The sequence below is a fragment of the Homo sapiens genome, chromosome 9, assembly GCF_000001405.40.
Source record: "Homo sapiens chromosome 9, GRCh38.p14 Primary Assembly".
NCBI lineage: Eukaryota > Metazoa > Chordata > Mammalia > Primates > Hominidae > Homo > Homo sapiens.
Genome location: NC_000009.12, coordinates 98,881,440 through 98,898,147, shown reverse-complemented (window position 1 = coordinate 98,898,147; position 16,708 = coordinate 98,881,440). Strand labels below are relative to the sequence as shown.

Genomic DNA, 16,708 nt, shown 5'->3' with positions numbered 1-16,708 from the left:
CCTTTTTTATTGCTTAGTTGTATTCCATTGTAAGGATGTACACAATTTATTTATTCAGTTAGAAGTTGGTGGACATTTTTGTTTCTTCCAGTGTGTGGTGACTCTGAATAAAACCTCTGTAAACATTCACATACAAGTCTTCATAAGGAAATATGTTTTTATTTCTCTTGGCTCAATGCCCAGGAGTGAGATTACTGGGTTATGTGATAAGTGCATGTTTAACTTCATAAGAAACTTCCAAAACTATACCGTTTTACATTCCTACCAGCAAAGAATGTGAGTTTCAGTTGCTCCATGTCCTTGACAGCACTTGTTATTGTCATTTTATTATTTTAAATAAACTATTTTAGAACACTTTTAGATTTACAAAAAAATGACAAAGGTAGTAGCAAGAGTTCTCACATATCCTGCACCTAGATTCAATTGTTATTAACATCTTACATTAGTATGGTATATTTGTTACAATTAATGAACTATTATTGGTACATTCTTAACCAAAGCGCATTCTTTATTCAGGTTTCTTTACTTTTTACCTGATGTCCTTTTCGTGTTCAACATTTCACCTATGATGCAACATAATATCTAGTAATTGTGTCTCCTTAGACTTCTCTTGGCTATGACAGTTTCTCAAACTTTCCTTGTTTTTGATGACCTTAACGGTTTTGAGGAGTATTTATCAGGTATTTTGTAGAATGTACCTCAGTTGGATTTTTCTAATGTTTTTCTCATGATGATACTGGGGTTATGAGTTACGGGGAGGAAGACCATAGAGGTAACATGCTATTCTCATCACATCATACCAAGGGTACGTACCATCAACGTAATTCATGACTATTGATGATGACCTTGATCACCTAGCTGAGATACTAAGAAAACAAATCTGTTAATGTGCCCACATATTTGCCTTTTCAACTACTTTGCACTTCTTCTGCAGTGTCCAATCTGCTCTTATCCAATCTAGTGAATTTGTTAAAATTTCAGATAGTAAAATTTTAGTTCTAGAATTTCTATTTGGTTCTCTTTTTTTTTTTTTATCAGATGGGGGAATCTCATCAGAAAAATGGAAATGATAAAAATCCACAAACATATTGTGGATTTTTCACAAACTGTGAAATCCACAAACATATTGATAATAGCTATTTTAAATTCTTTGTCTACTAATTTCATTATCTGTATCATCCCTGGATCTGTTTTTACTGACTGTTCTTTCAACTAGTTGGCATGACTTTCCCTACATCTTTATATTTCTAGTAATTTTAATTTCTTTGCTGCACATTGTGGCTACCACATTGAGAGTCTGGACTGTGTTCACTTCCTCTGAAGAGTGTTGTAACTTTCTTTCTGGAAGGCAGTTCACTTTTTTCTAAAGATAATAAGACAGCCTTTCTGCAGTCTCAACTGAATGTCTAGGGTATTCAGTAAGGTGACTCTAATACGGTTAGTCAGAATTCTAACATCTGTCAGCACTGACACTACCAAAATCTCTGTTGAGCTCACCGTCCTCCAGTAGCTATTACTTGCCGGGTCTCTCAGAGTGTCACTCTGTGCATGTACAGTTTCAAACTCAGTGAAAGACTTCAGAGGACCCATGAAAATTTCACCCCAGTATTTTTTAAACTCCCTAAGTGATCCCAATGTATTGTCAAGGTTGAGAACTATTGAATATCAATTCCTGAACTGTAAAGGAACTGGGGGGAAAATGCCCTGGTACCAAAGACAATTCAGAATTCCTCTAGATAGGCTGGTCCTGGATAAAATCATAATGCATGTTGAAAAAAGCAGCTCTACACTAAAGTAACTCTCACCTGGTGACATAAAGGAATAGAATCTAAGATAAATCTGGAGACAACTTTACTTTACCTCCTGTTCTTTAAAATAATTGGCTATAATAACTCACTCCTACCGTATTTGAATAGTCCCCTTTAAGACTTTCCTATCACCTAAACTGAAAAAACTAAAGTGATACCTGGTCAAAAGGAGTTCCTGATGCAATAAAACCTGAAGGAAATTAAATCATCCCTTAATGAATTCATATCAGTTGTCAGGTTCCAAGTTCAAGGGAAATAAAGAGGAATAAGATGTCCTTCCTTCCCCAAAGTAGCTCCCAATCCAGTTGGAATTCCCAGTTTACATGGAGCTAAATGAAATAGATTTCACACTGTGATAGGTCCATGGTATGACAGAGATGCATTCAAAGTGCTTTTAGGAACGCAAGTATGCCTAACTTTGGATCCGAAAGGCCTCACAGAGGAATAGCTCTTTAACTAGGTCCTTTTAAGGGCAGGAAGAGTGAGGAAAGTGGTGAAGGTAAAGAAGATAAGGGGTATTCTAGGAATGAGAATATATGCAAGGGCTTTGAGTGGGGAAAATAAGTGGAACATTTGGGGGAATTTGAAATGTTCAGTGCGGAAAAAATGAGGAGTAGAAGATAGTTTACAGAACAACAGAAATAAGACGCCTTCACCCTACTCATCGGGTGAGATGAATCAAATTTAGAGAACAAAAAAGAACTTATAAACAGTTATTTGTTCCGGATTTGTAATAAATCACACCTTATTGAGGCTGCAGTGAATTCCTGGCATAAGTTCAACAATGGTGTGTAATAAGTACAAGGGGATTTACATAGACAGTTTCTAGGGAACAGGAGATGTCTAACAATCTAAGTCTAATCTGAAGAATGCCACCTCACTAAAGCATTACATTTTAGCTCAAAACTTTGGAGAATGAACTTTCCATGTGGATTGTGATCCTCCTTATTGTTTTGTATATGCACAAACTGCAAAAAGTCCAAATAATTGTACTGGGAAGAGTAAGGATCAAAGACGCTTGGCCAAGCTTGGCCAAATGTGCTTTGGAAATCTCCCCTGCAGCTAGAAAACCTAAGTGTGAGCCCTGCAGCTGCCATTTACTGCCCATTATGCCCATGAGGAAGTCCTTTAATTCCTCTGAGCCGCAGTTCCATGAAATGGGCACATCAGTGCCCACCCACCCTGCTCTGTCTCACAAGATTGTCAGGAGAGATCAATGAGCTACTTTGTGTGGAGAAACTTTGTAAAGTTTAGAGCACAATACTGATGCAAGGGTTATTATTACTAATAATAAACAAGAAGAATGTGTGACAATGACCAGAATTTCCTGTTGAGACAACAATTTCATGAAACTATTAAGAAAGGTAGGATGTTTTTTCAATTCCACAATGAGAGTTATGCGCCAGTATTGTTTCAACATTCTCCAGGGAATAAAGGGTTTTGTGGCGATAAATAAGGAATGAGCCAGTTTGTCTGAAAGATTATTTTTCTCCTTAGAATCATTTCAATAGCTTTTTGTGCCTTCCCACGATTTTTCCAGCCAATCTGCCATGACAGATGAGAATTGGGTATAGGCAATATGATGTCTTCTTTTAAAGAATGTATCTTACTATATGCAAATACTCATAATTCAGGGCTGTGAGTTCCCTCCCCCAACCCCCAGGCAGCCCTCAGGCACAGTGCTGGGGCACAGAAGGACATCTGTCTCATCAATAACCTCAGGAGTTTCTTCCACTTACCTAGAAAAGAGGAAAATGTATTCTTGAAACCAAACCATTCTACAGGAATCCCTTTATTCCTCTCTATCAGCTTAGGACAAGAGGCTTTCGTGTAGATACCAGCTGGCATCTGTAAATTTGTCAAATGAATGTGGGCAAGACCCTCTGGAGGAGGCCTACTGCCCTTCATAAATGTAACACAAGGATTCTTTCTTGTTGGACTGAGGCCTGCTCGTGATTTTGATGACCTTTGGACTGTCAGCTTCATCTCATGTCATCAGATACAGCAGCCAACTGCCCTTCCTCATATCCTGCCACTAAGAGTTCTGATCCTCAGTGGTGACCCAATGCCTTCTTCTCCTAAATTTGTACTAAAATAACCAAACTACTGTAATAATGGGAAAAAGCAGCATTGTCGGTGAAAACCTGGAAAGGGTTCCCTCTTTTGCCAGAATTTTACAGCATTTCTTGTGTGTGTGTGTGTGTGTGTGTGTGTGTCTGTGTGTGTGTGTGAGAGAGAGAGAGAGAGAGAGACAGAGTCTCACTCTTGCCCAGGCTGGAGTGCAGTGGCGTGATCTCAGCTCACTGCAACCTCTGCCTCTCGGGTTCAACCCATTCTCCTGCCTCAGCCACCCAAGTAGCTGGGATTACAGGTGTCCGCCACCACGCCCGGCTAACTTTTTGTATTTGTCCAGGCTGGTCTCAAACTCCTGAGCTCAGACAATCCACCAGCCTCAGCCTCCCAAAGGGCTGAGATTACAGGCATGAGCCACCACGCCCAGCCAGGAATTTTAGAACATTTCTCAAATTTCAGTGTGCACATGAATTACCTGGGAATCTTGTTAAAATGCAGATTCAGTAGGTCTGGGGTGGAGGTCCAAGAATTTTCATTTCTAACAAACTCTCAGGTAATACCGCTGGTCCCTGGATCACACTTTGGAGAGCAAGAAATCAGAAGACAAACTTGAGCAATTTCCCCAGAACTCAGAAGAAATTATTAAGGAGACAAAAATGATGAAAGGAAGGTTGAGGAGAGAGCCAAGAGCTATAACGGAGCATCTATGTAAGGAAGTGAACAGAAGAGATACAGAAAAAAAGATTGGGGTTGTATGTATGTTTCAACTTTAGAAAAACCTTAGTATAATTCATTATCTCAATATAGCAAAGCAGAAATGCCATGTAATTATTTTGATAGATGACAAAAAAAATCTGAGAAAATTTAACATTTCATTATCACCATCATTGATGATGCATTTTCTTAAAGTGACAAATGTACTCTATGTAAAACCAAATCCAGCAAGAAGCTTATTGGCGAAATACCAGCAGCAGTCCTGTTTGCATCAGTAACCAAAAGAATGTCCATTGTTATCAGTGTTATTAACACCGTCCTGCAAATTCTAATTCAGACAACCAAATATAAAAATGAAATTAGGGGTGATTTAGTTGGGATTATGTTCAGCTTCATGTAATCATGGCTTAAACAAAATAGAAGTGTCTTCCACTCTCGCCTAAGTTAGAGGGAGCTTTTGTAGCTCAAGGACACCAAAGACCCAGGCCTTTGTGATTCTCTTTTCAGTCATCTCAGAGGTGGCTCTTGTCCTCGAGATCCAAGGTGGCAGTTAGAGCTGGTCTAAGGATGGTGTAGCTGTCATAAACATTTGGTGTCTCAGGCCTCATGAATATGTAGTGTTTCCTTGGTCCTCCCATCCCGTCTTGTCTCTGTTCAGCCCATGTAGGCTCGGCCAACTTTATCTATCACATGTTACACAGCTACTGGCTTCTAATTGTTTGCTAAGACAGAATTTAAAATTCTTAAATAATGCAGCAATGCACATTACACAAAAGAAGCATATTACATTAACAAAGCTAAGCTAGAATAATAAACACACGGCAATGACTAGGGATTTTTAATATGAGTGATAATATGAACTTATCCTAACAAATATTAAATTATATCATAAAGGGGCAAGAAATTTAACAGTATGTTAGCAGCTGAAGGAAAGACAGACCAATGCAGGAAAGAAAGTACATCAGTAATCTCAACTATATGTCAAAAGTAGGATATGGTAATGCTGTTGTTTCCAAGTCAATGAGGAAAAAATGTGTGGCAGTGCAGCTTGCTAACCACATGAGAAAAAATAAAAGTAGATACCTACCTCACACCACTCACACATTCCAGAAGAATTAAAGCTGTAAACATAAAAAGGAAACCATGAAAGTATGTTTTAAGTACACACGCAGGAAAATATGTACATGTATTTAAATAACATTGGGCAGGGAAAAGACTTTTAAACCTGCCAGCAAAGATGGAACAAAAAAATGAAACTATCAAAGATTTTATTCTTAATTTTAAAGGTCTGCATCTTTCTTAAAAGGCCAAAATTGAACTGGACTAATGAAGAAGAGAGGACCTGGAACAGACCTAGCTAGACTAGCCCAGCCCTTTATTCGTTCTACTAAGTAGAGGTTGGTAGATCACACCAAGCTCACATGTATGCTATTGGAAGGTTGATAGGCATATACACATTTTTTTCTAGTTTCCATGGCTTTATGGGTAAATATGCTCTAGAAAAGAATGATCAATTCTGTTGCTTCTGCTTCTAAGTCAGTGGAATGAAGAGCTATGTCCAAGGACACTCCAAGCAGTTCTTGAAAGAGACTGCTACTGTGTCCACCTATCATGCATAGACCCAGTCATAAGCACAAGATCTGTAGTCAACTGGTTCTTTGGGCTTAAACCATAGGCTGATTTCTTTTTTGTTGTTGTTTTTTGTTTGTTTGGTTGGTTTTTTTTAATATATATATACTTTAAGTTCTGGGATACATGTGCAGAACATGCACGTTTGTTATATAGGTGCCATGCTACCTGCCATGGTGGTTTGCTGCACCTATCAACCCATCATCTACATTAGGTATTTCTCCTAATGCTATCCCTTCCCTAGCCCCCCAGCCCCCGACAGGCCCCAGTGTGTGATGTTCCCCTCCGTGTCCATGTGTTCTCATTGTTCAACTCCCACTTATGAGTGAGAACATGCGGTGTTTGGTTTTCTGTTCTTGTGTTAGTTTGCTGAGAATGATGGTTTCCAGCTTCATCCATGTCCCTGCAAAGGACATGAACTCATCATTTTTTATGGCTGCATAGTATTCCATGGTGTATATGTGCCACATTTTCTTTATCCAGTCTATCATTGATGGACATTTGGGTTGGTTCCAAGTCTTTGATATTGTGAACAGTGCCACAATAAACATACGTGTGCATGTGTCTTTATAGTAAAATGATTTATAATCCTTTGGGTATATACCCAGTAATGGGATTGCTGGGTCAAATGGTATTTCTCATTCTAGATCATTGAGGAATCACCACACTGTCTTCCACAATGGTTGAACTAATTTACACTCCCACCAACAGTGTAAAAGCGTTCCTATTTCTCCACATCCACTCCAGCATCTGTTGTTTCAACCATAAGCTGACATCTTTGGTTTTTTTTTTGAGACTGAGTCTCGCTCTGTCACCCAGGCTGGAGTGCAGTGGCACAATCTTGGCTCACTGCAACCTCTGCCTCCCGGGTTCATGCCATTCTCCTGCCTCAGCCTCCCGAGTAGCTGGGACTATAGGCACCCGCCACTACGCCCAGCTAATTTTTTGTATTTTTAATAGAGACGGGATTTCACCGTGTTAGCTAGGATGGTCTTGATCTCCTGACCTCGTGATCCACCCTCCTTGGCCTCCCAAAGTGCTGGGATTACAGGTGTGAGCCACCATGCCCAGCCCGGCTGATTTCTTTTTCAGCACTTACTACTGAGCCATTGCCATGAATGATGCATCAGCCCACCTGACTAGAGAAGTCCCTGCAAATGGTGTGTGGCTTAGAATCCACTGGATTGGTCTCCCCCAGCATCACTCGGCCTGTCTTCACCGCATTCAGCCCCTCCCAGACCATGGCTAAGACAGGCCCTGAGTTCCTGTATTTTGCCAGCCTCGGGAAGAATGGGCAGTCTTTCCAGTGAAAGTAGTGCGGCTTCAGATGTTCTCAGAGGCCCAGAGGAACTTCCTGGCCACGAGGTGGAATCTCTTCTGCTCAAAGCACTTCACGATCTTGCCAGCCAGGCCATGCTGCACACTGTCTGGCTTGATGGTGATGAAGGTGCACTCAGGTTGGCCGTGGTCCAAGAAGCTGGTTGGGCCAGGTGGCACCTGCACTGTGCTGCAGGAGCCTGTAATTTTTAATTGTTCAGAAAAATATAGTCAGCACAAATGAACCTTAAAAGCGTTATGCAAAATGAAAGAAGCCAGACCCAGGAGGCTACGTGTTGTATGATTCCATTTATATGAAAAGTCCAGAATAAGCAAATCCACAGAGACAAAAGTAGTTGCCAAGGGCACAGGGGAGAGGGGAGTAGGAAGTGACTGCTAACATACACAAGAGATAGAGATATATATTTTTGAGACGGAGTCTTGCTCTGTCGCCAAGGCTGGAGTGCAGTGGCGCAATCTCGGCTCACTGCAACCTCTGCCTCCCGGGTTCAACTGATTCTCCTGCCTCAGCCTCCTGAGCAGCTGGGACTACAGGTGTGTACCACCACTCCCAGCTTTCGTGGGTGTGTGCGTGTGTGTGTGTATTTTTAGTAGACGGGGTTTCGCCATATTGGCCAGGCTGGTCTCAAACTCCTGACCTCGTGATCCACCCACCTCGGCCTCCCAAAGTGCTGGGCTTACAGGCGTGTGAGCCACTGCCCCTGGCCTCAATATATCTTTTGGAGTGATGAGACTATTCAGGAATTAGACAGCAGAGATGATTGCAGAACTTTGGGAATATGCTAAAAACCCTTGAATTAGATACTCGAACAGGGCAAATTTTACGGTGTGTGAATTACCTCTCAATTTTTTTCAAAAAAGTATGCGCTGCAAGTCACTTCTGAGAGTGGGTTTCAATTCTTCTCAACTGACCCTGCTGCTGTCTCTATAAAATAGTGAGTCAAAAGAACATTCAGGTTCTTAAAGCACAGTACCTGAGCAAGACCCAAGCAAGGAATCTTTATGTCCTGATGGCCAGGGTGGGCAGGCCAGGAACGCCCTTCCCGCCAATAGGATGCAGGTCCCAGACAGCAGACAGGGTCTCTCCCATTTGCATGAACTGCCCTGTACACTCACCGCCCAGGTTAGGTCTAGCCATGCATCCTCCAAACAACTCAAAAATGTCTGCTTTTAGTTTGCAATTTTGAGCAAATATGTGCTGAATCTCCAGTGGGTGGATTTGATCGTCTGTGGTTTCAGAGCATTTCTGAGCTTTTGGTTCCTAAACTATGAGCTTGACCTCATGAGGACTGGGATCCTCTCCCAGAACTCCCTCCACATCACTTTCCAGCAATTTGTTTCAGTTGGCCTTTCATTTATCTGATATCATAGAAGTGACAGACAGGGCATATCACAGCCGGAAGGAACTTACAGATTGATCAGTCCAACCTCCCCAACTCCAGCCTCCTATGATCCCCATTTAATGGATGAGGTTCAGAGAGAGGAAAGAGCCTCCCTACATCACCCGACAAATAAGTGAGGAAACTAAAATTAAATTTCTGTGTCCCAGTCCCCAAAGCACATGTGGTTTTTACATTCAATTATTTCTGTTGCAATATTGGCCTTAATACTGGCTTCCATTTCCAGTTAAATAATCTCTACACTGTGAACACCAAATGGACTGGCACAAGACCAGCACCAAGGCAAGGGTCTTAACCCTTTCAGGATGCTCCTGACAATATTACAATTGGAAAGCCATGCTCAGGCCAGACCCCTTGGGCCGGCACTTTCTCCAACTTACCTATGATTAAGTAAACTTAGCCTTGTTCACAGCAGCAGATGGAATAAGTAGAAGGAACCCAACTATTTGCAGAGCAAATTCTGTGGTCTCATAGAATATTATGCTGGAAAGGAAGCATCTCTCCTCACTATCAGTGCAGCAATTTATTCTATGATGTGAGATGTGCTTTCATTCATTCATTCAATCAACAAACACTTCCTAAACATCTACAATGTGCCTGGCCCTGTGCTGGACACTGGGACATGGAAATAAGTGAAGCATAAAACTTGCCTTCAAAGAGCTTCCAGCCTATTGGGAGATGTTCCTCTAATGACCAGCCCTGGCTGAGGGGAAGATGAGAGGCAGAGAGTTTATACAAAGCACGATGGAGACACAGGAGAGTCCATGATTCTGGTTTGGGGGTCAGGGAAGGCTTCACGGTGTTGATGACACACCATAAGCCAGATCTTGAATGTTTTCAGTGGCTGAGGAAAAGGGAAAGCTTTTTAGAGAAAAGGAACAACAGCACAGAACATGGAAGTGCATGGCACATTTGGAAAAGAGAGGAGACCAGAGTTTCTGGAACAAGGTGCCTGGAGCTATGCTACCTTGGTCCGTTCCCATTTGCATCTCCATCAGTAAAATACGGGGTTTTTTTGGAATGACGCCAGGGACTGTGCATTATCCCCTTTGGAATTTACAGCATCTGGCACAGTGCCCAGCACCTAGTCAGAGCTCAGCAAATTTTCTCTAAGTGAATGAATTTTCTCTAAGAGTTAACATGTACTAAGCATTGAGTACAGCCGGCCCTCCATATTGCAGGTTCTGCATCTGTGAATTCAACCAACTGTGGATTGAAAATATTATTCAGGGGGAAAAATGGATGGTGTCTTCTGTACTGAACATGTACAGACTCTTTTCCTTGTCATTATTTCCTAAACAATACAGTATAACAACTATTTACATAGCATTTACATTGTGTTTGCTATTATAAGCAATCTAGAGATGATTTAAAGTATCTGGGGGTTGTGCACATGTTCTATGCAAATATTACACCATTTTATACCAGGGACTTAAGCATCCTTAAATTTTGGTATCCTTGGAGGGGCCCTGGAACCAATGCCCCATGGATACTGAGGGACAAAGGTATATAGCGGACATTGTACTGAGTGCTTCACACATATCAAATAATGTAAAGCTCACAAACATCTTATGAATTTGGTATTATTAGTAATATTAATATCCCCCTCTAACAGATGAGATGGCAAAGACAGAGAGGTATAAAATAATTTGTCCAAAATCATACAACTAGGAAGAAGCCAATCTGGTCTTTAAGGCCAGATCTCTGCCGGGCTGCGAATGTACTCCCCTCCGTGTGCTGAATTTCTACCTTCCTACTATTCCGTAAGCTTCCTGGTGGCAGGGACAACATCTGTTTCTAGTCCCTGGAGTTCACTCTCATAAACACTTCTCTGTCACTGTAGTAGAGATGAACAATGGGAGAGGGGCAGCAGGGGGCCAGATGGTGAAGGGTCTTGACCACCAGCCTCAGGATTCTGAACTCAGTCTTAGAGATGACAGAACCTTTAGCATAAGCCACGAAATCTCTCAGGAGGTATGTGCCCAGCATCTTCTCAATCTTAGCACAGAAAGGAGCCTCTCAGTGGACTTTGAAGCTAGGACAGACTTGCTGGGAAGGGGAAAATTGTAACCCAAAGCTCCCTGTGCTCTGCGTCAAGATGGACACAGCCAGATATCAGGGAAGTGGTGAGTAGGGCAAAAGCCCCAATGGGTTAAGGCTTTCTCTGTGTGATAGTCTTAGACATCCGGCTCTTTTCTGCTCTAAATTTGGAACAACTAGATAGCCACTTCCTCCTAATCAAGATAAGCCCAGGGCCGAGGATCCATGCAATTGTGCTAGGTCATTTAATTGCCTTCCTCTTGGAAACCTTGAGCCAGTCATAGGGAAATTCTCTGACCGAGGCGAAGAATAAAGGTCAATGCCTTGTGGCATCCTGATGCCTTTTACAGACCCTGGAGCCACAGGAGAAATCAATTCCAGTCAAAGGAGTTGTGAAACTTTTTTTTTTAAGTGGAGCCAGTATTTTAAGATTTTCCAAGTCATGGAAAAATATACACTAAGAGCATGAAAACAACGCAAAGTGTCTCATGAAATCTAATCCTCATTGTTGTCCAGACAAAGCCAGGCCAATTTAATAAGGAGGTATGTTCTTTAACCTACCATAAAATGATCTATTATGAAGTATTAGTGGGAAAAATACTATTACAAGTTATTCCCATTTTTCCTAGCTGCTCACAATTTTGTTATAAACTATGCTTTCCTTTTCAAAGCTTTTTTTTTTCTGACTACAAAAGCAACACATATTCATTGTGGGCATTTTGGCAAATAAAGGGAACAAGAAATAAGTAAAATCACTGCAACCCACTATTAACAAGTGTGATTTGGGTTTTTTTCCCCCAAAATTAAGATTATACTGTATATAGAGTTTTAAATTGTTTTCACTTAGTATTTATCAATAGCATAATCCTATATGCCCAATATTCTTTGAATATGTTATTTTTATCAATTATATCAGATTTCTCAGTGTGGATGTGCCGTAATTAAGCTAGTCACCATCCTGTGGACACTTAGGTTGATTCCAGTTTTATGAGTGTAAAAATGAATGTGAGGAATGTCCTTATACAAATATCTTTGTTCTAATTTTTAAGAGTTTCCTTAGGAAGTGGAATTACTAAACAATGGGATATGAAAACTTAAGCTTCATGATGTATTGTCAAATTGTCTTACATTCATTCAACAAATTTTAATTGAATGCCCAAGTGCCAGGCATGGTTCTGGGCACTGGAGATCCAGGGGTGAACACAGAGACAAACTCTCTGCCCCAAAGGGCCATATTCAAATGGTGGTACTAACTTATTTTCCTACCAGCTGTGTATCAGAATGCCTGGGTTCTGATCTCCTCACCAGCATGATGACCTTTTAACAACGATAAATCTTGGGCTGGGAGCAGTGACTCACGCCAACAACTCAGGAGGCTGAGGCAGGAGCATTACTTGAAGCCAGGTGATAATGGTTTGGCTCTGTGTCCCCCACCAAATCTCATCTCGACTTGTAATCCTCACGTGTCAGAGGAGGGGCCTGGTGGGAGATGATTGGATCATGGGGGCAGTTTCCCCCATGATGTTCTCATGAGAGTGAGTGAGTTCTCATGAGAAATGATGGTTTTAAAGTGCGTCACCTCCCCCACTTGTTCTCTCTCTGTCTCTCTCTTCTGCCACTATGTAAAATATACCTTGCTTTCCCTTCACCTTCTGCCATGATTGTAAGTTTCCTGAGGCCTCCCTAGCCATGCAGAACTGTGAGTCAATTAAAACTCTTCTCTTTATAAATTACTCACCCTCAGGTAGTTATTTACAGCAGTGTGAAAACAGACTAATATGCCAGGAGTCCAAGACCAGCCTGGGAAACATAGGTAGACCCTGTCTCTAAAAAAATAAATAAATAAATAAATAAATAAAAATTACCTGGGCATGGTTGTATACACCTGTAGTCCCAGCTATTGGAAAATAAAGAGAAAGAGAAATAAGTAAAAGGCACTGCAAGCACCATGTCAGATATTGGTTATGAGATGCTTCTGGAGCTCCAGGGAATGTGGCCTCCCTGGTAAGGTGGCTCCCAGAGGAGACAGCTGTGAGCACCAGCAACCGACACTGCCACAGCTGGTGATAGAGAAGTCAGGCAGAGGGGACCCTGGCAGGGCATGTGTATCTTACCACATGTCAGAGGGACTGGAAGGCCAGAGGGGTAGGAGGAGCATGGGGAGGGATGGGGAGGGCAGTTTTGCAGTTAGCAGAGGTGTATGCGGCTTCAGCGTGGAAAATGGATGGGGGAGAGGGTAGAGATAAACCGCAGGGGTCCAGGAAAGATCAAGTAATTTTAGGGTATGGCAAACACACAACCCCTTACTTTGGCAAGTCACCATGACCATTCTTAGCAGATCAGAAGGTCTGAGAAATTCTACAATATGAAAACTCGTCTAACCTTGTTCAAATCCACATTTCCCGGGAAATAACAGAGGAAGAGAAGAACAGAAATGGCATCATGACAGTCTAAAGGATTAACTCCAGGTAAGAGAAAAAGGCCTGGACGCTGCCGGTCCAGACTTGCAGAGAAGCGGGAGTATTGAAAACATATTCAGGAATTAAAAACGACAGGGTTTAATTGAAGACTGGATATGAAACTGGAGCAAGGGAATGTCAAGGACAACTCTGGAGTTTCTAATTTGAGCATCTGCATAGTGACGCGTTATTCTTGGAGAAGGATTGAGTCTGAGGTCAAATGAGAGGTAGAGGGGAGAAAACTCCAGCAAAATGTGGAACAGTGGAAAAAGGCCTGGGCTAAAGACTTGGGTTCTCAATCCAGTGATACCAACAAGTGATTGTACAAGCCTGAGCAGGTCCCTTCCACCCACTGAACTTCGGCTTCCTCACCTGAAAAATGAAGATGATAAGTCATATTCTAACGAGCACACATTGTTGTCATTTTGATCAAATAAAATAATATAAATGAAAGTGTGTCCCAAAGTGTAGAATGCAACCAAAATACAAGAGGATTATTATGATTATTGCTAGCAGTCCTTTGAGGACACTTAATTTATGACTCCCCAAGGAATCAAGTCAGAGCATAACATGAGGTCAACACACCTAGGGACATAAATGTCAGAAGTGGCTTGTTATAAAACTAATTGCTATTTCGTGGATTCACTTATAATGATCCCAGCAACATTTTTCCAGGCAGAACAATTTTTTTTCTCTGTCATCAGGTCTCTCCCTCTTCCCACCCATAATCAATCAGGGCTTTCAACTAGGGTCACCCCTACCCTATCAAAACCTGCTCTCAAGGAATTATCCATTGACTGGCACTAAAGAAAAAGTTCCAATAAAGCTTGAAATGCTTCCTTCCCAGGGTTGCTTGCCACTCTTCAACCAAGGATCAAATCCTCTGCCAAAGGAGAGGATGTCTCATGGGGTATTGGGGACACAAGGATCACATTCAAAGCGGTACTGAAAGGAGGTTGTCTCATGGAGGGTTGGGAGCACGAGGATCACACTCAAAGAGGTGCTGAAAGGAGGGTGTCTCATGGGCAGTTGGGGGCACAAGGAAACACTCAAAGAGGTATTGAAATGAGGGTGTCTCATGGGGTGTTGGGGGCATGAGGAGCACACACTGAAAGAAGTCCTGAGAGTGAAACGAGCCAGTCACACAAGAATAAACATCATATGATTCCACTTACAGGAGGTCTCTAGAGAAGTCAGATTCATAGAGTCAGAAATTAGAATGGTGATTTCCAGGGCCTTGGAGGAAGGAATGGGAAGCTGTTGTTTCATGGGTACAGAGTTTCAGTTTTGCAAGATAAAAAGTTTTCTGGAAAATTCTGGATGGTGGTAATGGTTGCACAACAAACAACATGTGTGTACTTAACACACTGAAGTATACTCTTAAAATAATTAAGATGGTAAATTTTATACATATGTTAGTAGAATTACTCATGATGATGATGATGATGATGATGATAAATAGTATCAAAGAAGTTCAGATTCAGGGTGCTTGTCTTGGTGCTCTAGAAATCACCCCACAGAGGGAGCCTGTTATACACACACTTGTGCTCACTTGTACACACACACTTGCACATGTACAGACACACACAGCCCTGCCCAACCTTCTTCTGTCAGCTAGGCAAGGAGAGCTGAGCCCAGTTATTTGGGCCAGTTTAGGGTTCACTCTGGAACTTTTAATAGTCAAAGAAATCTTTGTTCTCACTGTGCGACCATTTCTCATCCCAGTTAGCTCTTACATAAGACATATTTCGGATCTGATATATTGGGGAGAAAAAAAACATTACCCATTTTACTCATTTTGAATAAACTAAAAATAACTATCTTTCCCATTTCCTGGAGTCAATAACGACTGTTTAGAAAGGACAGGGGAAAGAAAGACATGGAATATGGGGAAAAAGCCATGGGCTGAGCATACAGGAGCCTGCTTCAAAACCTGTCTTTCCCCCTCATCTGCTGTGTGACCTTGGGCACATCCCTGACCCTCTCTGGGCCTCAGGCACCTCGTCTATGGAATGAGAGGGCTGTGTTGGAATCCTCTGGCCTTTGAGGTCCCTTCAATTCTCATAGTCTAGTTTTTGGTGAGAAGTAGGACTAGGGGTTGAGGCATCTTATTTTGCTGGCCATCTAGTAGATGAATCATTTTTATTATTCCAAAAATTTTCCAAATGAATTTTGATGTGATCCTTCTTGGTAAGAAACAGCTAATGACATCTCTCCTCCCATTCCTGGTCTAGTGTCTAGAAATAGTCTCCGTGAGTAATTTCTACTCACAATTCCCACTTCCTTGACTCCTGCTCCCTCCCCTGCAGTCTGGTTTCCGACTCCCCAGTCCTTTAAAACTGTTCTTGTCAAGGTCACCATAACCTCCTGTGACTGAGTCCAATAGACATACCTCAGTCCTTTTCTTCCTTGGCCTTTCAGGAACATCTCAACACAGGTGAACACCTTCTCTTTCTTGAGATACTCTCCTCTGTGGGGCTGAGAGGGAAAATAGCCTGCCCTCCTGGAGTCCCCAGGGTCACCACTAGGATTTGAGTGCCCACCATGTTAGTGCCAAAGTCTGTAACTAGTACAACATGATTTGCGGCCACTTGCCTTCCTGTTGCGCTCACATTGCCACCAAATTCTAGATTCACTGGGTGATTCATTTCTTCAGTCATTCAACAACGATTTGTCCAGAGCCAACTATTTCCCAGGCACTATGTGAGGCAATGGGAATACGGTAAGGCCAGCATGGCCTCTGCCCTCCTGGCATTTATAATCCATTGCAAGAGCCAGGCATCAAATGGGAGAGGACGAGACCCATGTATAACTACAAATATGATGAGTTCTCCAAAGAAAAAGCACCCGGGGCTCTGAAAGATGAGATGGGGGACAGACAAGGCATCAGGATGGAGAGTGACAGGACACCAAGATCTGAAAGAGGGGAGGCAGCCAGCAGGAGCAGTGGGTGGGGAGGGCGGGAGTGCAGCAGGCACAGGGGACTGCCAGCACCTTGAACGGGGGACCTGGATGGCTCAACATCATCACACACCAATAGCACCCTGAATTTCTGAGATGGAGGGTTTGGGAGATGCACATGAAGATGCTGGAGGAGCTAAACCCCCACCCTGCCCTCCCATCCTCACCCACTGGGGCTGCTTCTTGTCACCCTTGGACAATGCAAGCTCCAGAAGAGGCTGTAGTTTGGACTGCTGAAGGGTCTGAAAGGGGTCAGGGTGAGTGAGAGGACACAGTAAGGTGGGGT

General features: G+C 42.3%; 1 pseudogene; it reads right to left on the bottom strand.

The window, feature by feature from the left end:
* Positions 6,072–7,741, bottom strand: NME2P3 (NME2 pseudogene 3; annotated as a pseudogene).